The following is a 21362-nucleotide window of genomic DNA, read 5'->3' as shown; positions in this document are numbered from 1 at the left end:
TTTACCCTCGGGAGTTCTTTAGGATCTTAGCTTATTACAGAAAAGGTCTCCTTTTAGATTTCTATTTTAAAGATTTTTTTTTTCTATGAGAGACTGATCCAAATAATGTAGACTTCAATTATTGGAAATAAAAAGTCCAGTATTAGTTTTAGATAAGCCAGTCTTTGGCTGTAACTGAGAATTAGGAGTTTTAAATTTGGAATTATCATCTAGAGTCAGGGTAGAATACTAGACAGTATTTATGATTGCTGTGTGTTGGGGAATGAAACATCATTTTGTGGGCTTCCGTGTGGTATTCAGGTCAATCACTCATTCATCCAGGAAATACTCAATTTATTTTTACCATGTGCCAGGCACTGTGCTAAGGGCTGGGTACATAGCGATGAACATTATAGATGTGCTCGCTGGTCTCAAGGAGCTTCCAGTCAAATGAGTTGCTAATTAACAAGTTAAGGTTCAGATCTCAAGCACACTACCTTCAAGTCTGAACAGGTTGACTTGCAAAGCAGTAGAAACATTAAGAGGTAGTTCTCAGACTTTCAGGTTTCCCAGTACATATTATTTTTAGAAGCTCTGATCAGGACTACCTAGTGCTACCCTATCTCTTGGTGAGGTTCACACACCTGAATTTGAAAAGAGGGTGTGCATTCATTTCTTTATTCAGTGTATATTTCTTGAGCACACATGATGAGCCAGGCACTAGCTACACGTTGATTAATTTAAAAAAACATAGTCATATTATCATTCATATTTATGTGTGTTTGAAACCCCAGTGATCATATTGATATTGACCTCTACAGCTAATTATGCTCTTTCCTGCTGCCTTGGAATCATGACCAATGGCTACTTTCGGTGTGGGTCAGTTCCGGAACCCCATTGTTCTAAATCAGTGCAATGGATGCCAAACTACAGAGTGAGTCAGGAACCTTGCTCCTCAACTTTCCTCTTTTTGGCCTTTAAGATAATGTCAAAGGAAGGTTGACCAGAGACTCTACAAGTAATTTTCAGTGATGTCTGTTGCAAATTAAATCAGAACATGTTTTTCAGGAAAATAATATTTCCCCAGTCTACTGGGTAGCATCTAAGATGCACTAAAGACAGCCAGTAGATTAACAAGCTGGAGAATGACTGATATGGAACAATAACGTCTTTATACTAAAGTGATACGTAATATTCTAGACAGATTTTTAAAATTTTAAAGTGTAACTGTTTTATATGCAGAAGCAATTTGTCATTCTGCAGCCTCCTTGGAATCCCTTAGGTATAAGAATTATTTCTCAGCCGGGCATGGTGGCTCATACCTGTGTGTGGTAGTTCATGCCTCCCAGCCCTTTGGGAGACCAAGGTAGGAGGATTGCTTTAAGACCAGCCCAGGCAACATGGTGAGACCCCGTTCCTAAAAGAAATACAAAAATAGCTGGATATGGTGGTGTACACCTGTAGTTCCAGCTACTAGGGAGACTGAGGTGGGAGGATTGGGTGAGCCCAGGAGGCCGAGGCTGCAGTGAGCTGTCATCATATCATTGCACTCCACACTCCAACCTGGGTGACAGAGTGAAACTGTCTCAAAAAAACAAACAAACAAACAAACAAACAAACAAAAAACCACACACAAGAATTCCTTCTCAAACTAGTAACAGATAATAGAATTAAATAGCCAAATCATTCTGTGTTTTTTTTTTTTGTTGGTTTTTTTTGAGACAGAGTCTCACTCTTGTCACCTAGGCTGGAGTGTAGTGGTGCAATCTCGGCTAACTGTAACCTCTGCCTCCCGGGTTCAAGCGATTCTTCTGCCTCAGCCTCCTAAGTAACTGAGATTACAGGTGCCCGCCACCATGCCCAGCTAATTTTTGTATTTTTAGTAGAGACTGGGCTTTGCCATGTTGGCCAGGCTAGTCTCGAACGCCTGACCTCAGGTGATCCGCCCCCCCCTCAGCCTCCCAAAGTGCTGGGATTACAGGTGTAAGCCACCACACCTGGCCCATTCTGTGGTCTTTCAAGATAATGAAAGTTTATGTAAAGGAAATAATAATCTTTCTTTCTAGTTTGTCAGTATGTAGGAAAAAAGCAAGTATCTTCAACTTGTGTAACATCTGGTTGAGGCTTTTGGCTCAGTAAAAATGAGCTCAGAGTTACTTCTAAAGGATTTTATCCTAGTATAAGACAGCAGCCATCATCAGAACCCGTTAATAGGCTATGTTAAGTCAGGAGAGAAACTAGTTTCTGATTTTAGGATGGATGGTTGAATGTATGTCAAGAAATGTAGCTTAGAATGGTGAACTGAGGTATAATTGACCTGTGAGTCACTGTTCTTAGCAGTTTGTAGGATGGCCTTGTGAACATTTTCGCACTCTCAGCTCGAGGCACAGGGTGAAGAAGCTGGAATGCATTGAGGTACTTAAGTATTGGTTTCAGATTTCACTGAGGCTTTGCAGCATGGTACAGGAAAATAATTCATCTTCAGATAGCCTGAGACCCTTAGTTGCGAGTGTTCCCACCATCACACCCCTACCTGAGCTGCTTGCTGCCTTTTACTGTTCACTTTACCAGATGTAATAAGACCCAAAAGACAGGACAGTCATCAGTCAACCAGTATGATTGAGCTCCCACTGTATTCCAGGCAGTGATCTCGAGTCACAGTAGCAATCAATCTCTGCCTTCATGGGAAAAGACAAGCAATAAGTAAGTAAAACTCTAAGTATATTTTTTTGCCTTTTTGTCAGAAGGGAAAACAATCTATGGAGAAAAGAAATCAGAGAAAACCTTCTGAAAAATAATGTTTGAGTAAGATTGTTGGGGGCCAGCCAAACCATTTCTGGGGGTGGGAGGCATCGTTCCAGACAGATAAGACAGCAAGAATGAGAGTATGTTAGATGTTTGAGGAAAAGCAAGGAGACTGGTTCAGCTAGAGCAACGGCACAGTTGTAGTTCATCATTTAGGGTAAGAAGAGAAGTTACTGGAAGGTTTTGAGCAGGGGAATAATATGACCTGACCTACAATTTAACAGAAGAGAATAGACAGAAGAGACACAGGGCAGAGGCTGAGAGACCAGTTAGGAGGCTACTGCAGTGACCCAGGCAAGGGATGGATGCCAGCACCTTGGACCAGGATGGCAGCAGTAGGGATGAGAGGTGCTCAGCTCTCAGCATATTTTGAGTTAGAGCCAGTAGGACTTGCTGGTGGATTAGATGTGAGGTATAAGAGACTGAGAAGAGGCCAGGCGTGGTGGCTCATGCCTGTAATCCCAGCACTTTGGGAGGCCAAGGCGGGCGGATCACCTGAGGTCAGGAGTTCAAGACCAGCCTGACCAACATGGAGAAACCCCGTCTCTACTAAAAATACAAAATTAGCCGGGCATGGTGGCACATGCCTGTAATCCCAGCTACTAGGGAGGCTGAGGCAGGAGAACCGCTTGAATCTGGGAGGTGGAGGTTGCGGTGAGCCGAGATCGTGCCATTGCACTCCAGTCTGGGCAACAAGAGTGAAACTCCATCTCAAAAAAAAAAAAAAATTGAGAAGAGTCAAGGGTAACCCTGAGGGGTAACCCTGAGGTTAGGCAACTGGAAGGATTAGAGTTGCAAGTAGCAACCACATTTCTGGTCATATCAATACTTCTTGAATTCCTGCTGTGTGCCAGTTAATTGGGCGTATAGGAGAATATGATCTAGAACTTAGCCCTGGGGCATTCCAATCTTTAGGAATATGGAAGACAAGGGAGATGGGCCAGCAAAGAAGAAGCAACCAGCCAAGGAGAAGGAAAGCCAAATGGAAAAACGGTTTCACGAAGGGGCAAGTGACGCCAGGTGCGGTGGCTCACGCCTGTAATCCCAGCACTTTGGGAAGCCGAGGCGGGCGGAGCACTTGAGGTCAGGAGTTTGCGACCATCCGGACCAACATGGTGAAACCCCGTCACTACTAAAAACACAAAAATTAGCCAAGTGTGGTGGCGGGTGCCTGTAATCCCAGCCACTCGGGAGGCTGAGGCAGGAGAATCACTTGAACATGGGAGGTGGAGGTTGCAATGAGCCAAGATCGCGCCACCGTACTCCAGCCTGGGTGAAAAAGTTAGACTCTGTCTCAAAAAAAGAAAGGGCAAGTGACAGGATCAGAAGCTGCCGAGAGGCCAAGTAAGGTGAAGTCTCCAAAATGACTGTGGGATTTGGTGACCTTGTCAAGAGCAGTTTCACTGAAGGGATGATATTGGGATGCAAGCCCTATTGGAGTGGATTAAAGAGAAAATGAGAGGTAAGGAAGAGAGGCATTGAGCATTTAGTGTGCTCAAAAGTCTTTCGAAGAGTTTTGCTATAAAAGAAAGCAAAAAAATAGGGTAGTGGCAGCAGGGGACGTTGGATTGAGGTGCCAGCGGAAGTCGTTTGTAAGATGAGAAACATTAGTACGCGTTCATAAGTTTACGGGACTGATCCACTAGAATGGGCACATTGAAGAAGCAGGGAGAGGAGGCCTCACTGCTATTAGATAGTGAGTGGTCAGGAGGGGAGGGGTCTGGCAAGCCAACGGAGAGATTGGCCTGGGATCAGAGCAGGGACCCTTCCTCCATTGTTAAAGGTGGGAGGCAGAGTGTTTGGGTTCACAGGCAGGTAGCAGGGTAGGTTTGATGGTGAAAAGGTGAAGAAACAAGCCTAGAGAGATTAAATAACCTCCCCAAGATTATACAGCTATTAAGTGGCAAAGTCAGGATTTAAGTCCAGGGCTATCAAAGCCTGTGCACTTAACCTCTAAGCTAGATTGCCCTCTACCTAGCATCTAGCATGTGCCAAATAAATGCTACATGCATTGATTCATTAAACATTTAAATACCTACTGTGTACCCCATTGTAATCACCCAATGGGTTCTTCCTGCCCACTGCACAAACAAAACCAATTCACTGAGGCCATTGCATGAAGAAAGAGTGATTGACATGCAGCTGGCCACTCCATGTGGGAGATGGAGTTACTACTCAAATCAGTCTAAAAAATGCAGAGGTTTTTCCAGGGCAGTTTAGTGGCCAGGGGGCTAGGGGAATGGGTGCTGCTGATTGGTTGCGGATGCAACCATAGGGATGTGGACAGTGGTCCTCCTGTACCAAGTCCCTTTCTGGGTGGGACCACAGGACTGGTTGGCAGGTCCAGGTGGAGCCATCAGTCCTCAGAAATGCAAAAGCCTGAAAAGACATCTCAAAAGATTAATCTTAGGTTCTACAGTAATGGCGTTATCTGCAGGGGTGATTGCGGAAGTTGCAAATCTTGTTACCTTCTAAATAATGGCTAGTAATCCTTTATGTCTATATCTTAGCAGAATTAGGCTCCTCTCATCCTTCTGACTTGGTGACCTTTCATTAGTTTTACAAAAGTGGTTTAGTTTTAGAAAGTGGAAGGGCTATTTCCATTTCAACTGTAAACTAAATTTCTCCCACAGTTGGCTTAGGCCAAGCCCAGGAGTGATCAAGGACAGTTTGGAGGTTAAAGACAAGATGAGGGTTGTTTAGATCCAATCTCTTTCATTGTTGTAATTTTCTCACTGTTATAATTTTCTCAGTGTTATAATTTTTGCAAAGAGGTTTTACCATCTACAGAGCTGTGCTAGAGATAGGAAGACAAGTTAGACCATCCTAGCCCTCAAGGAACTTTCAGTATAATAAAAGGAGGTAAGCAAGTATAATGAAGTAACAGCATAGGTTAGCCAAGAGAGATATTTGCAAGGTTCTCTGGAAAATAGCAAGAACTGTAGGAATCAGAATGTCACTGGGCAGAGTCCTAGAGAGTGAGGAGTTGTTGACCCTCAGTGGAGCAACAACATGGGCAGTCACAGAGGAATCCACAAAAGTTTAGGGAGTTACATATTCTTGCTCTTTTTTTTTTTGGCACACTTTTCTCCCTTTTTTCCTTTACCCTTCTTCTACCTTCTCTGTCTCTTCTCTCTCCTTCCAAATCCTACTTCTCCATCCTCACTTCTAGAATAGGTGGCAGTCTATCCACTCTGGGCATCACACAGATAGTCATGATGGCCCACCCACTAGGAGCAAATAGCAAACATCACGGTGAGGTGGTGCTTCAGGACTGCTGAAAAGAGCCAGTGGAGTGTGACTGTTGTGTAAAGTGAGAGGGGGTGCTGAAGGAGGGATGGTTGTCTACAGGGTTCTATTTCACCAGCAGTCCTACCATTGAGAAAAGTAGAAAAGTCATCCTCCCTCTTTCCTCGGCCACTTTCTCTGTACACAGATTTATTACTCAAAAATGGCAACCCATTCACAGCTTTTGTTTAGATCTGAGTCATAGTAGTGTGGAGATAAAGCTGAGGGAGTTTACCTCTTTATGCAAACTGCTTATCTTTAAAGTCCTAAAGGCAATCGGACTTAGAAAGGGTGGGGGAAGCCCCCTTTTGTAACCAACTGTTCACTCTCCACTTGCCCAACTATAATTTCTTTTTTTTATTTTTTGAGATGGAGTCTCACTGTGTCACCGAGGCTGGAATGCAGTGGCACCCATCTTGGCTCACTGCAACCTCCGCCTCCCAGGCTCAAGCGATTCTCCTGCCTCAGCCTCCTGAGTAGCTGGGATTACAGATCCTGCCACCACACCCAGCTAATTTTTTGTATTTTTAGTAGAGATGGGGTTACACCATGTTGGCCAGGCTGGTTTGGAACTTCTGACCTCAAGTGATCCGCCCACCTTGGCCTCCCAAAGTGCTGGGATTACAGGCCTGAGCCACCACACCTGGTCAATAATTTCTTTTTATAACTAGGATCCTTACCTACAATTTAGTCCTCTCTTTTTATCTCTTCTCTTGGTTGATTAGGTGTATTTTTCTTATCTTGCTAGCTTTATCAAAGATATCAAGTTGCTAGTGAACTTTGTTTTCCATAACAGAGAAAGTTTAATCTTTTAATTGGATTAGAAATAAGCAAGATCATAGAATTGTAGACTTAAAGTGGCAGAGAAATCATTAATGTCCACATTTCCTACATAGGAAAGTGACAGCCAAAGAGGGTAATCATACCTGAAAACTGGTTATTAGCAGAAATTGAACTTCTAGAAGGCAGGTGTCATTTCCTCATTTGGTCTCCAGTGCTCTCTCTGTTACACTGTTGCTCTGTTTTAACTTGTGGTGAAAGCTGTCCTCCCGAATAATGTTGACTTCCTATTGGTTTGGTGAACCAAGTCACAATCTTTGTTGGGTTTAGGTGATAGGTTGTAATGACTGAGTCACTCAGTGCTGGGCTGTCTTGTGTGTCACTGCCATTCTGTGTGCTCATGGTGGTTGGCTGGTGAGGCCCAGCTGAGGGCAGGGTTGGTCGGCCAGGACTGGAAACAAAGAGAGAATGGTGGTGTTGGGGTGTACATGGCTTGCCTCGGTAGTGGTCCACTTTTGAATTAGGCCAGGATACTTTCTATTTGTTTGTTCACTTGGTTTGAGGGAAATTAAGATTTACTGTGTTTTGAGATATTCTTCTTAGTCTAGTGCCATGAAATCAAACAGATCTGGGTTCAAACTGTGGCCCTGCCATGTACTAGTTTATGTGATCTTGGACAGGTTATTCACACTCGCAGATTGTTTCTTTATCTGTGGTAAAACAAGTATAATAAATACCCTCCTTGGAGGGTAGTGAAAATGGAAAACCTCTACCATCTTCCTAGTGCTGATCGTAGCCCATAGTACACACTGAAAACATGGTAGCTGCCTGGGCTGTTGCTGCTGCTGCTGTTGGTTGAGGAGGTACAAGGGACCAGAACAAGTGGACATCAGAAGTTTTGACAATATAGAGGTTCGTTTGGGTCTGGTGCACCTGTAGTCCCAGCACTTTGGGAGGCCAAGGTGGGCGGATCACTTGAGGAGTGATCAGGTCAGGAGTTCAGGAGTTCAAGACCAGCCTGGCCAACATGGTGAAACCCCGTCTCTACTGAAAAATATAAAAATTAGCTGGGCGTGGTGGCGGGCACCTGTAATCTCAGCTACTTGGGAGGCTGAGGCAGGACAATCTCTTGAACCCTGGAGATGTAGAGGTTGCAGTGAGCCAAGATCATGCCACTGCACTCCAGCCTGGGTGACAGAGTAACACTCTGTCTCAAAGAATAAGAAATAAAAGAAGGTTTGACAATCTAGAGTTTCATTTTGGCTGGGCATGGTGACAAATGCCTGTAGTCCCAGCTACTAGGGAGGCTGAGGTGGGAGGCTCCCTTGAGCCCAGGAGTTCAAAGCTTCAGTGAGCTTAGATCATACCACTTCACTTCAGCCTGGGCAACAGAGCAAGACCCTAACTCCAGTAAATAAATAAAGGCTTATTCAGTAAGTCAGTAAAGAATCCAAAAGGCACGTAATAGCACATCAAGTATTTGAGGAAAGCAAAAATAAGTTGTGAGGGAAAATAGAAACATGGATTGTTTGAGCCTGCAGTGAGCTGTGATGGCACCACTGCACTCCGGCCTGGGCAACAGAGTGAGACCGTGTCTCAAAAAAAAAAAAAAAAAGAAAAAAGAAATCTTCAGTAAAGGGTTCTTTGTTGGAGATGAAGGGTATGGGCAATGAATGTTCAATCATGTTCTCCAGAGGCCTTCTTGAACTGTCCCTATCCTGAAAATATATTATAATGAGATCTTAAAAGAAGGTACCAATAATCACCACTTTTGTTTTTGAAAATAACCAATTTTCAGGTTATCCTCACAAAATGTAAGCTGAACAGTTAGCATCTGTCTTATTGTAGAAGAAGTTGAGGTAAAGAAAGGATAAGAGCACAGTATATGTTTCTGGAAAAATGAAATTAAAATTCAGTTCTATATGATTTATGATTTAATTTTGAAAAAATTACTCTAATTTTATCATCAATTGTTTTATAACAAACTCTTGATTATCTGATTATAAGCTATTCACTTGTAGATTATTTTAATCTTACAGTTAGATTAAAGTTAATCTTACCTATACTTTTATAGTTAAAATTTCCTTCTCACTCAGTACCCAAGTCAGAGGTGTTCAAGGAATGCACCTGGCCTAGGTAAAATAAGATCTGGGTAGCAAAGCACCTGGCAAAATCCTATGGGTCATTTTATAGTCAAGCACATTGGAAAACCGGGTTATCTTTTATGCTCTTGATTTTTATATGCTCTTGATTTAAAAAAAAATTAGGCCAGGTGCGGTGGCTCACGCCTGCAATCCCAGCACTTCGGGAGGCCGAGGTGCGCAGGATCACCTCAGGTCAGGAGTTCAAGACTAGCCTGGCCAACATGGTGAAACCCTGTGTCTACTAAGAATACAAAATTAGCCGGGCGGCAGGGTGTATGCCTATAACCCCAGCTACTCGAGAGGCTGAGGCAGAAAAATGGCTTGAACCTGGGAGGCAGAGGTTGCAGTGAGCTGAGGTTGCACCATTGCACTCCAGCCTGTGTGACGAGAGCAAAACTCCATCTCAACAACAACAACAACAAAAAATTTAAGTCTACTCAGGCAAGGTGGCTATTGCCTGTAGTCTCAGCTACTCGTGAGGCTGAGGTGGGAAGACTGCTTGAGCCCAACAGTTCAAGGCTACAGTGAACTATGATCGGACCACTGCACTCCAACCTGGGTGACAAAGAGAGGCCCTGTCTCTAAAAAGTAAAATAAAGTAAATAAGAAAAAAAAAACTAAGTCTGTCTTATATTCCCAAGTAGGTTACAGTTCCTTAATGGTAGGTACCACCTTCTCTTTGGTATCTCAAGAGTCTGGTATGATGCCTTTTGCATGGCAAGCACTTGATGTTCATTTGCTAATGATGATGATTCTTCAACTCCAACTCCCAAATAAATTCATTACATTCTGCTTTCCAAACTGACTTCTGCTGCTCATTTCCTTTTTTCTTCTAATTCCTTCTTTCAAAATATTTCTTCCCTTTTTCTTTTCTTTTTTTTTTTTTTTTTTTTTTTTTTGTGGAGACAGGGTCTCACCCTATCACCAAGGCTGAGTGCAGTGGTGCAATCATGGCTTACTGCAGCCTTGACCACCCGGGCTCAACTGATTGTCCCACCTCAGCCTCCTAAGTAGCTGAGACTACAGGCATGCGCCACCATACCTAATTTTTATTTTGACAGGGTCTCACTATGTTGCCCAGGCTGGTCTCGAACTCCTGGACTCAAGTGATCCACCCGCCTGAGTCTCCCACAGTGCTGGGATTTCAGGTATGAGCCACTGTGCCCGGCCTCTTCCTTCTACTAATTGCTCTATGCTACGACCCTGGTCCAATTCCCACCATCTCACCCTTTGAAATCTTGTCCCCACGCATTATTTCCTCACGTCTACCAAATGATTCCTGACAAATCAAGATTACAAATGTACCAGTTTTACCATCTCCCTCCCCGGGCCAAACTTTTACCATGAAGCACAAGGAGCCTACTGCTAATGGCTTCTTCCTCAGTAATCCTATTCTTATTACCCAAAATATATAAAAAATAAATTTGCTCTGGACACTCTCTGTAGAGGTTTACTGAGCTACCAAAAGACTTATGCTTTCACCCCAAAGCAAACTTACATTCATGATTATCCAGTCACAACTTTCCCCTTCTCCAACTATCCAATATTATCTCACCTATGATATGAGACCCTATTCCACACAAGGAGGTTTTTATTGTTATGAAGCCGCATCATTATTAACCCCAAAGCCTTACTCCAGTTACACTGTCTCTCCATCTGAAACCTAGGCTTGCTTCTCTAAAAAACCTTAGAAGCTCACATTCATCTTGGCTGTCTATAGCCTAGAAAAGAAATTATTGTCTACATCATGAATTCTGACACTGGTATTTTTATATACTATACAGCACCTAAGATTTTAGACTTAGAGAGAGGTGCCCAACATTTTCACAAATTTGATATTATTTGGTTTCAGTGTTCCCCAAAAATAGGGTCTTGGTCCTGTATTTCTGCATTCCTTTAACTTATGATTCCCTATCCCTTGGTCAGAAGTTGGGGTCCTAAAAAATCACAAGGCTGGGCGCAGTGGCTCACGCCTGTAATCCCAACACTTTGGGACGCCGAGGCAGGGGGATCATGAGGTCAGGAGATTGAGACCATCCTGGCTAACACGGTGAAACCCTGTCTCTACTAAAATTACAAAACTTTAGCCGGGCATGGTGGCGGGCGCCTGTAGTCCCAGCTGCTGCGGAGGCTGAGGCAGGAGAATGGTGTGAACCTGGGAGGCGGAGCTTGCAGTGAGCCAAGATCGCGCCACTGCACTCCAGCCTGAGTGATAGAGCGAGACTCCGTCTCAAAAAAAAACAAAAAAACAAAAACAACAACAAGTGATTTTTCCCCCTCTGGCCCTAAGGCCATCCATCGAGAACACAGAGGGAATGCACTGGTGACTGACTGCTGTTCAGACACAATGGGCCTCTTGGTGAAGGGGAAGAATAAAAGCGTGCCATAACTCCCACTCTGCTGGCTTTGAAATCAACTGGCTTTCTTAAAGCTGTAGAATTATGCTATTTTCCTTTTTTGCCAGATCCCCCTGAACCCATATAATAAAGCTTGTTTTCCTGTCTATTTTCAACAGGGTAACTGTTTTGATAAGCTTTATTACCTGATGGATTGCTATTTTATTGGTTATTTCTACACAGTAAAGGTGAATCTTCAAAAACATACACAACTTAGAACCTGGAAAGTACTTTAGAGATTATTTAGTTCAATACCCCTTTTATTTTAAAATTCATTTGATTATTATTATTTTTTGAGACAGGGTCTCAGTCTGTTACCCAGGCTGGAGGGCAGTGGCTCAATCACTGCTCATTGTAGCCTTGACCTCCCAGGCTCAAGCAATCCTCCTGCCTCAGCCTCCTGAGTAGCTGGGACTACAGGTGTGTGCCACTGTGCCCAGCTAATTTTTTTTTTGTTATTGTGGAGATGGGGTCTCATTTGTTGCCCAAGCTGGCCTCAAACTCCTGGGCTCAAGTGATCCTCCCACCTAGGCCTCCTAAACTGCTGAGATTAAAGGTGTGGGTCACCATATTCTGCCTCAATGCCCCTGTTTTATAGCCCTGTTACTGAACCGTAAGTCTCTGTTTTTCATCAGAAAGAGTCATACAAGCTATTCCCCTGGGATCCTAGGTGATTCCTTAGGAACGGATCACTTTTTCCATTAGATTGGTATCTCCAGAATAACTAGTGGTCATTCCCAGACTTCTGAAATGCCAATATGAGGAACTCCTGCACGAGCAAGACCAGATTTTGAGAACAGAAAAATAGGAAGTGTGGTGACCCTTAGGGTCAGCCTGAGCCTTTGACTCATGCACAATTAATCCCAGCCACACTGCTTGTTTCCTCTGGTTGGATTTTTTATTTGAACAGGAAATGCATTAGGAATAAAATGGTAAAAAGGAGTGCAGGTCTTCTTAGAATCGGATATGAGCAGTCTGACTGCAGTCCTGGGTTCCTCACGGACTCCTTTTGGGCTGTCTCTAAATGCCAGGGGAACTATGTGCTTTATGCAGCCTGACCACGTAGAGTATTTTATTCAGGTTTCCATACGAGCCATGTCAGAACTTCTTTCCTGAGAGCTCACATTCATGGCATCACAAATTTACAACACATGTGCTTTGACTGATGAATACCACTGGTCAATTTGTTTTTTATTGGCCTTTTGTTTGAGGGGGCAGGTGATCTAGAAACATGCTGGGGGAATCCGAGGAGTCATTGTGGCCAACTGCCTCATTTTATTGATGGGTAGATTGAGTTCCAGAGAGAATTAGTAGTTACCCAAGAGTAAACATGTAATTATTAACAAAGCATATAAGGCAGTTTTCCTCAGGGTTCTGGATATTATTTCACAAATAAGGATTAAAGTTCAAGGAATCATTCCTAGATATCTAAGAAATGACCAGACAGCTAAAAGAGTAATCTTATTAAGGCCTGTCTCTTAGCATGTGTTTCCCCTGCTCAAAAACCTCATGACTCTTTGCTTTCCATTGAATAAAATAAATGTCATTGACATCCTCTGGGGTCCACCCCAACCTATCTCTTCAGCCTCCTCTCTTATTTTCCACGTATTATATCCTTCAGATGATTCCCCATTTCTTAGTGCTCCATATGTGAAGTCTGCAGAGATCCTGCTTCTCCTAGAAGTCACTGTTCACATCCAACCGCTTCCCTGAAGCCTCCACTTGCCATGCCAGGGACTTTGCTTTGGTGCTGTTGCTGTTTGTCTTTGCTCCATAGCACTTATCACATTAGATCTTTCTTTAAGCGTGTTGCTTCTGCATTGTAAGAGGCAGGGACTAATTTGTTTGTCTTTTTCTGTTCCACAATGCCTCCTCTATGATAGGTAACCATCTAATATTTGTTGATTTAAATAGCCATTTACCTGCCTTTTTGATTTCTGGCCTCATTTTCGACTTCTTAAATATGTTGTATGAATTAACTAGAAAAGAGGTTTAAGAAATGAATGTTTTTGATGCTTCCCTGGCATGACAAGTATCTGGGAAAATGTGAAAGCATACCTAACTCCATTCTGGGAAGAATGTTTACGCTATAAAATCACCTACTCACCAGATCAAAGTAAAAGGAAGTACTTTTTCTTCCTTCAGTCGTATGACTAACTGTCTGCAGGTGGGAGCTTCAGCAGCTTGCGATTGGAGTGTACACTAACTGGTGACTTCAATTCCAGAAAAGCAAAGCAGTCAGAAGAGTCCTGACTCTAAGTTAAGGGATGAAGTCCTGAAAGGTTTCAGATGTTCAAGGATTAGAAAGGTGGACTTGGAGGATGGGGAATGGAGGTGCAGCTTGAGAAGGAAAGCACTTGTTTATACCCCTGGTGGCTTACTAAAGGATTAAAGAGGCGGGGGAGACTGATATATGACCTGACCTGGACTTCTAAAGGGGTGCTGTTTCTCTTTCACACGACTTTTCCTGCAAAACCTTTGGAGTAGCAGAATGCCTCTATCTTCAGCAAGTAAAGCAGCCAAGCCAGTTTGACCAGCTTGAGGGAAACACCAAACAAAGCTGGCAACTCCAATCACATGCATACTAGTTACTCATTATCTTCTGGCCTCTGGAGAAAGATAGAGTAGCTCGCTGATTGGATCCTGAGGTTGAAATAACTCCACATCTCACTGCGCTCCGACTAGAGCAACGAGAAGAGTGTCTGGAATGGTTGGGAGACATTTTAAGCAGGACAAATCCAGCCTTAGGCTAGACTGCACCTGTCCACAGCCCAGCCCAGGCCCATGGAAAAGAATAGTAAAACCTTTGTCTTTAAGCACATAGAATATGTGTGAAACCCAGAAGGCTAGAAAAGAAAGGGAAGTGGAGGAGAAAAGGCACTGGGACTCCAGCTGGGAGTATGAAGACTACGGGAGTGTACGGAAAAGGAACCTTACAGTGCTGGATGGACTCTACAGAGAAAATGACTTGGATCCCAGGTACTGGGCCAAGGGACAGCATCAGCCCTACAGAAAAAGGGATTGTGGATACTGGGATTTTGAACAGAGTGAACCAAGCTATATGGACTGTGGGGAAGCACATGAAAGTGGAAAGGGCTGTGTGTACCACGGAGGTCATGATGGTTATAGGAGTCCAGAAAATGTAGATTATGAGAGTCTCAGCCCTGGGACGAAGGATAATTCACCTACGAGAAGCCCAGATGTGACCTCGAAAGCTGGTGGATACGGGGAGGCAAATGGCTACTCAGACTGTAAGAATCTGAATTATAATCCTGAGGACTCTAAAAAAGCTGAACAGTTGACTGACTGTAGGGGTTTGGATGATTCTTCAGCGAATTTAGGTCAACCTCAGTTGTGGTATATAGACCATGAGAATGTTAACCATAATCTTGAGGATTGTTGGGCAACTAATTTTTATTGTAGAGAACACAGCAATTTATATCATGTTCCTGGGAGTTATCCTGATGGTCAGCCTGTGAGCTTTTCAGATTCGAATGGTGTCAATGAAGATAAGGAATTTATCAAATACCATGAAGGGGACAGGAATGTTCATCAAAATGACAACATGTATCCCAAAGCAAAGACTCATATTATGGATCAGGGTGATTTTGATACAGAAAATAAAGGCTATGATGCTTTATTTGCAAACTGTGCATATAAATCTCGTAATTCCAGAGGGACAGATTCTCTCCATCAAATGGAGAATTTGGAGTATAATGGCACTGACATACCAAGAACAAAGGCACATGGGGGCAGCAGGATCCTTCTGGATGGTCTGCAGACTCAGTGTACCAGGGGAGAACAAGGAGGACATCATTTGGGGATTCCTCAGAGCTCGTCATTAGAGAAGAACATCTGGCATTTAGAGGAAGAGAAAAAATTAAATGGCCCAGAGACTTGGAGAAGGAATAGTTGCCTCCGCCGCACAGCACCCAGCACCCTGAGGCGCTCAGAGTTCGTGCAAAACAGCAAGAAAACCCAAGGTATGAACTCAGCCAGCCTTCTTAAGATAAAGCATAAAGATAGATTTAAAGGGTAGTTATACCAGGTACTAGGAGCACTTGTGTTCTTAAGGAGCCCGGGCCCTGAACTTCTTATCAAGTGCACCTTGAGTGAGAACAACCTTAGAGATTTAATTACTTTGGAAGGCATTGTACAGAGCAAGAGTATATATACAGTGCTAAAAATATGCAACATTCGGATAGCGCTCTCATGGGAACTTTTATTTACGCTTCCTGGTTTTTTCAGATGTCTCTAATCTCAAGTATCTTTCCTTTCTTACTTTCATGTTTTTGTTCATCTTGTCGAGGCAGCAAGTTTATTATCAGGGCATCAAGCTAAAATTCATTTTCCTGGCATGTTTTTTTTTTTTTCTCTCAGTCTCTACACTTCTTTGGACATTAATGGAAAAGAAGACTTGACTTTATTTTTATTTATTTATTTTTTTGAAACAAGATCTCATTCTGTCCCCCTGGCTGGAGAACAGTGGCACGGTCATGGCTCACTGCAGCCTCAAACTCCTGGGCTCAAGAGATCCTCCCACTTTAGCCTCCTGAGTAGCTGGGACTATGGGTACATGCCACCATGCCCGGCTACTTTTTTATTTTTTTGTAGGGGCAGGGTTTCACCATGTTGCCCAGGCTGATCTTGAACTCCTGGGCTTGAGCGAACCACCCACCTCTGCTTCCCAAAGTACTGGGATTACAAGTGTAAGCCACCATTGCCAGGCCTTCATTTTAATTTTTTTTTTTTACCGCTCCTTTCAGAGCAGGGCTACCCCATAGGCAGTGTGCCCAGAGTAGCCCTGATTTGTTTTATAGATTGTTCACTCCTTGACATTCAGGAATCTTAAGTGAATGATGAGTACTGACACTCTTGTGGATTCCAGAAGATTATTTCTAGCTTTCAAATCACTTCATCTCACTGAGCCTTAACTACGTTGTCTGTGAAATGAGAATATTAGGAGTCTTTTATCATGTAGAGGTTCTTTCTTTCTTGCCATTATATCTTTTCTTCAGTTCTCATAAGTGAGCTTTATTTCTACTGTGTTATTTTTATAATTACTGAACTCTCTGTTAAACCTTTCGTGTGTGTGTATGCTGTATGTTGTCTTCATGCCAAACGGCCTTTCTGGTTCTGGCCAATTTTGGGGTCCAGGCTGTGACCAGAGGATAAAGGTTAGTCAGAGAATGTGAATGATCTGAAAAATCCATCTCATGCCCTCCCCTTAAGTAGAAAGTTTCTCGTCTAGGTCTCCTTCAGAATGGGCTGGCTGGTTAGATTTGTACTAGGGGCCACCACAGACTGAAAAGATAAGCCTGCTATGGTCCTGGGATGGCCGGTGGTTTACCTGGTGGTCTTCCAACATGGGCTTGACTTAACTTGAATTTCTGGGGCACCATTTTGGACCTAACAGGCTCTTAACCTGCACCTATAAAGACAAAAATGAAACCAAACCCAGCTTTAGTTGGGAGGCTGAGGTTTTTAGCAGCTAGTCATTTTTTCCTAGGTGCATTTTCTCTCTGAAATGATAGGGACTGGATAACTTCTAAATTCCTTCCAGCTAAAAAAGAAAAAAGTCTGATTCTGTGATTCTTTATATTGGTTTTTGTATTGTTCCTCTTCCCTTCCCCCCGCATCTGTTCCTTTGGTGAACTTTGTTTCCTATGTTTAGTTCCTTATTGTATTAAGCCTCCCAACTGTAATCAAAGTGTGTTTATTCTGTTTGACTTAACAGGAGTGAAACCCTTCTCTCTGCAGTGTTGTAATGTGCCCTCTGATCTCCCTGAAACCAGCTCGGTTCCACCCAATATCATTTCCATTTCTACAACTCTCTTTATCTTTGAGGACTTAACTTTTGAAAGTATATTCATATTTAGTTCACCCCTTTTTGTACCCCTAATATCCTTCTTGACCTATAACAAATTCTGTCTTTACTAGAAATCTTTCAGCATTCTAACGTTCTTTGTTAGCTCTCTCACGCCATTGCCCTTCCTGAATATTACAAGGGAACACTGTGTAATTACACAAAGGAACAAGCATCAGAGTTGGTCTGCCCTGAGTTCAAATCTCAGCTCCACCATTTACTAAATGGCCTTAACTTGACAAAAATTACTTAACCTCTTGGAGCTTCGGATTCTCAATTTGTAAAGTGAAGATAATACCTCTCTCATAATGAGATAGAAAAATAAAACAGTCACATATCCGGAACATAGTAGGTGCTCATAAATGGCCATTTCTTTGTGTTTTATCTGCCCACCTCCCTTCCCCTTTATAAGTTGCGCCACCCACCTGTCACTCCATGGTTTCGTCTCTGAGTTCCAGATTGATAGTCCCTGCTCCCTGTTGGACATCTACCCTAGACCGTAAACACTTCAAGTTTGATTGTCTAAGTGGAATGTCCTGTCCCTTCCTCTTCTCCCGTCTTCCCCTTGCCACCCCTCCTCCATCTGAGACAGAGCTCTGTTCAGTGGCTGCTCTCCAGCCTCTCCCCCAGGCAGGAAGCCAAGTTTTCCCCCAGGCTTTCCTTTCTCACCGGCCTGATCAGTCATTCTCCTGAGGCCTCCATCTGAGGTTTTTTTAGGGCAGGTCTGTTAGGGGTTTGCTCTTAGTCCTAGGGTGTGGACCTCTAGTTCTGAGAGGTGGGCCTTATTCCTAAGGTGTGGCCCTTCGGAGGTTTCAACAGAAAACTGGAAGTGTTTATTGAACCTCCTAACTTGGAGGGACTCAAATTTCAAACTGTGTCTTCCCAGAGCCAGACAGTTGGTGAAGATCTATCTGCTGGGCTCTTCTGGCCTCCAGCTTTCCACGGGGTTCCTTGGAGTCTCATCACCTGCATGCACAGTTGAAGGATTGAGAGGCATTTCTGCACAGATTTTGGGGCTCTCCTCTCTGTGGCTTACTGTTTTCCAGGATTTCCCCCTTAATAGCTAATGTCTTCAGAGCCCCCAGACTGGAACCTTTGGCTGCTCAGCCCAGTAAGATTGCCCCATGTGGGCTTTCTTCTTTTGCTTTATTTCCCGGCGTCCTAAAAGACTAGGGAGTGCCCTGAGGGGAGGACTGGAGACAGGTGCATCTTACCTAGTTTGCTTCCCTTGTTTTGAGTCATATCCCCTCCAAATTCTGCCTGCTTTTGATTGCTTTTCAGTGCCTGCATATAGTTATTTTTTAAAATATCTGTCAGAAGGCTGAGGTGGGAGGATCACTTGAGCCTGGCAGGTCGAGGCTATAGTGAGCTATGATGATGCCACTATACTGCAGCCTGGGTGACAGAGTGAGACCACATCTCTAGAAAAATAAAAGTAAATAAAAGTTAAAAAAATAAATCTTGTAAAGTGTTTTTGGTAGTTATAAGTAGGGAGATTAGTACAATGTGAGCTACTCTACCATTACTAGACCAAGTGTGGGCACTAGGGTTTTGCACTTGCTAATAACATACATGGTTATGATGAGAAGGGGACCTGGTGTTTCAAATTCCACGTTACCTGTTTTGCATGTAAATAATATTAGGATATCTAAATGAAGAGCTCTTACAGAGAAAACTATGAAACTAGAGAGGGCTCTAAACAAAACTAGAGAGGGCTAAAGGTTCAGGGTTGGAAGGCTACAAAATAGGAGCCTCTTATGTTATTACTGGAAGGAAGCTTATATAGCCACAATCCCATGTTTTTGTAAATAATGGGTAGCCACTCATGACTGGGTCTTGAAGTCTGTTTGGGGGTTGCAATCAGCAGTTCTGAAAAATAAAAGTAAATAGAAAAAACTTTCATACTACATTCTATGTAGTAAAAGTAAGCATGTAATACTTTGTGTATGTGTATGTGTATAGACATAAATGTATTATGTAAATGTGAGTTACAGCCTAAAGTGTGGGTCAGGCCAGGCACAGTGGCTCACGCCTGAAATACCAGCACTTTGGGAGGCCGAGGTGGGCAGATCACTTGAGGTCAGGAGTTTGAGACCAGCCTTGCCAACATGGTGAAACCCCCTGTGTACAAAAATACAAAAATTAGCTGGGCATGTTGGTGGGCGCCTGTAGTCCCAGCTACTCCGGAGGCTGAGGCGGGAGAATCGCTTGAACCCAGGAGGTGGAGGTTGCAGTGAGCTGAGATTGTGCCACTGCACTCCAGCCTGGGCGACAGAGTGAAACTGTGTCTCAAAAAAATAAAATAAAAAATAAAGTGTGGGTCACAGTAAAAAATGTTTGAAAAACACTTAAATACAACCCATTTATTTTATAAATGAAGAGATAGAGCTCAGAGAAATTGAAATGTGTTTCCAAGGTAACTGGGTCAAGGATTAGGGCAGGAATAGAATCTGGCTCTCTTGACACCTAGAATGCTTTTCCAGCATTACCACATTTGAAGGCAGAAGCACAGCCGTAGATTGAGTCTGCAAAGATGAATTTAGAATATCAGAAAAGTGTTAGGTATTTCTCTGCAGAGTGCACAGAAAAAAAAAGTGTTAGGAAAGTCAGAGGGAGGCTGCCAACAGAGGTTGCAACTATATTATAGACAGCAGAGGTGCAAAGGTGCAAGAGAGGATATGGACTCGGGAAAGACCTTTGCATTTGGTAGGTTGGTGGAGGGTAGGAGCAGGGGCACAGAGCATATGACAGGGAGTTTAGGAGGGCAGTGGTGATAAGGATATGAAAGCAGTCCCTTAAAAGTTGGGACAGTAATTGCTGTGGAGCAGGAAAATCTTCTGTTTTGTCTTTCTCCCAAGATAAGAAAAACCTGCATTGATTTGAAGGCACTTTTGCGAAGTAGTACACAGACAGCTCAAAGTTTTTAGGACTCTGGTATTCAAGATTTCTTTTCATTGCAAACATGTGAACATGATATCTGTTCCAACAGTCTGTATTCAAGCTTATTATTAATATACCAGCACATAGATCCCATATCTCCTTTAATTGCAGTCCACCAGGTGTTTATTAACTAATGTCTGTACTTGGCATTGTACCAAGCATTGAAGGTATCCAGAGAAGGCAACTATACTCTTAAACACCTGCCATGCAGGAGCTTGCAGATCAGTTGAAGAGACAAAATACAAAAGAAGTATGTATAGCATAGACAGTAAATGCTATGGACAGTTGGAAGGTAGACCAGGTTTTTTGTTTTCTTTTTTGTTTTTTGTTTTTGTTATTTTTGAGACGGAGTCTCGCTCTGTCGCCCGGGCTGGAGTGCAGTGGTGCGATCTCAGTTCACTGCAAGCTCTGCTTCCTGGGTCCATGCCATTCTCCTGCCTCAGCCTCCCGAGTAGCTGGGACTACAGGTGCCCGCCACCACGCCTGGCTAATTTTTTTTTTTTGTATTTTTAGTAGAGACGGGGTTTCACCGTGTTAGCCAGGATGGTCTCGATCTCCTGACCTCGTGATCCACCCGCCTCGGCCTCCCAAAGTACTGGGATTACAGGTGTGAGCTACCGCCACCGCACCCGGCCTGGAGCCTTACTCTGTTGCCCAGGCTGGAGTGCAGTGGCACAATCTCAGCTCACTGCAACCTCTGCCTCCCAGGTTCAAGCGATTCTCCTGTCTCAGCCTCCCGAGTAGCTGGGATTACAGGTATGCACCACCATGCCTGGCTAATTTTTGTATTTTTTTGTAGGGACGGGGTTTCACCATGTTGGCCAGGCTGGTTTCAAACTCCTGGCTTCAGGTGATCCACCCATCTCGGCCCCCGAAGTGCTGGGATTACAGACGTGAGCCACTATGCCCAGCCGAAAGACCAGTTTTTGCTTGAGCTATTAGAAAAGACTGTAGGGAAATGTTTGAACTTGGCTGAAACTTAAAGAAATAATGGAGTTGGGATAGGCAGAGAGAAGCAAGGAGAACAGTTCTGGTTGGGGAAACTATGAGAAAGACATAGGGTTGTGGTGACAAAGACGTGGGGAAGGTGGTGAGGAACACAGTGGAGGAAAGAACTAGAGTACTGAAATCTTAGACGCCAGTAGGAGTTTGGGTTGGAGCTCA

At 43.5% G+C, this 21362-nt stretch overlaps 1 protein-coding gene and 1 long non-coding RNA gene across 7 annotated transcripts in view; one reads left to right on the top strand and one right to left on the bottom strand.

The window, feature by feature from the left end:
• DNMBP-AS1 (DNMBP antisense RNA 1) overlaps positions 1 to 17778 on the bottom strand; it is a 31794-nt gene extending 14016 nt beyond the window's left edge. Inside the window, exons 1-2 of the long non-coding RNA NR_024130.3 lie at positions 17684 to 17778; positions 16743 to 16823 (exon numbers count right to left, since the gene is read on the bottom strand). This is a non-coding gene — a long non-coding RNA (DNMBP antisense RNA 1). The remainder of the gene's footprint in view (positions 1 to 16742; positions 16824 to 17683) is intronic.
• Positions 1 to 21362, top strand: part of DNMBP (dynamin binding protein) — a 134377-nt gene that overhangs the window by 64965 nt on the left and 48050 nt on the right. Inside the window, exon 1 of one of the 6 annotated variants that reach the window (NM_001318326.2) lies at positions 14076 to 15375. The exons of the other annotated variants lie outside the window; for them this stretch is intronic. Within the exon in view, the coding sequence (NP_001305255.1) occupies positions 14220 to 15375 (1156 nt within the window). The 5' untranslated portion in view covers positions 14076 to 14219. Of the gene's footprint in view, positions 1 to 14075; positions 15376 to 21362 lie in introns of those variants that run through there. 6 annotated transcript variants of the gene reach the window in all.

The sequence above is a fragment of the Homo sapiens genome, chromosome 10, assembly GCF_000001405.40.
Source record: "Homo sapiens chromosome 10, GRCh38.p14 Primary Assembly".
NCBI lineage: Eukaryota > Metazoa > Chordata > Mammalia > Primates > Hominidae > Homo > Homo sapiens.
Note: the sequence above shows the minus strand (reverse complement) of the source record. Positions and strands in the feature narration are given on the sequence as shown.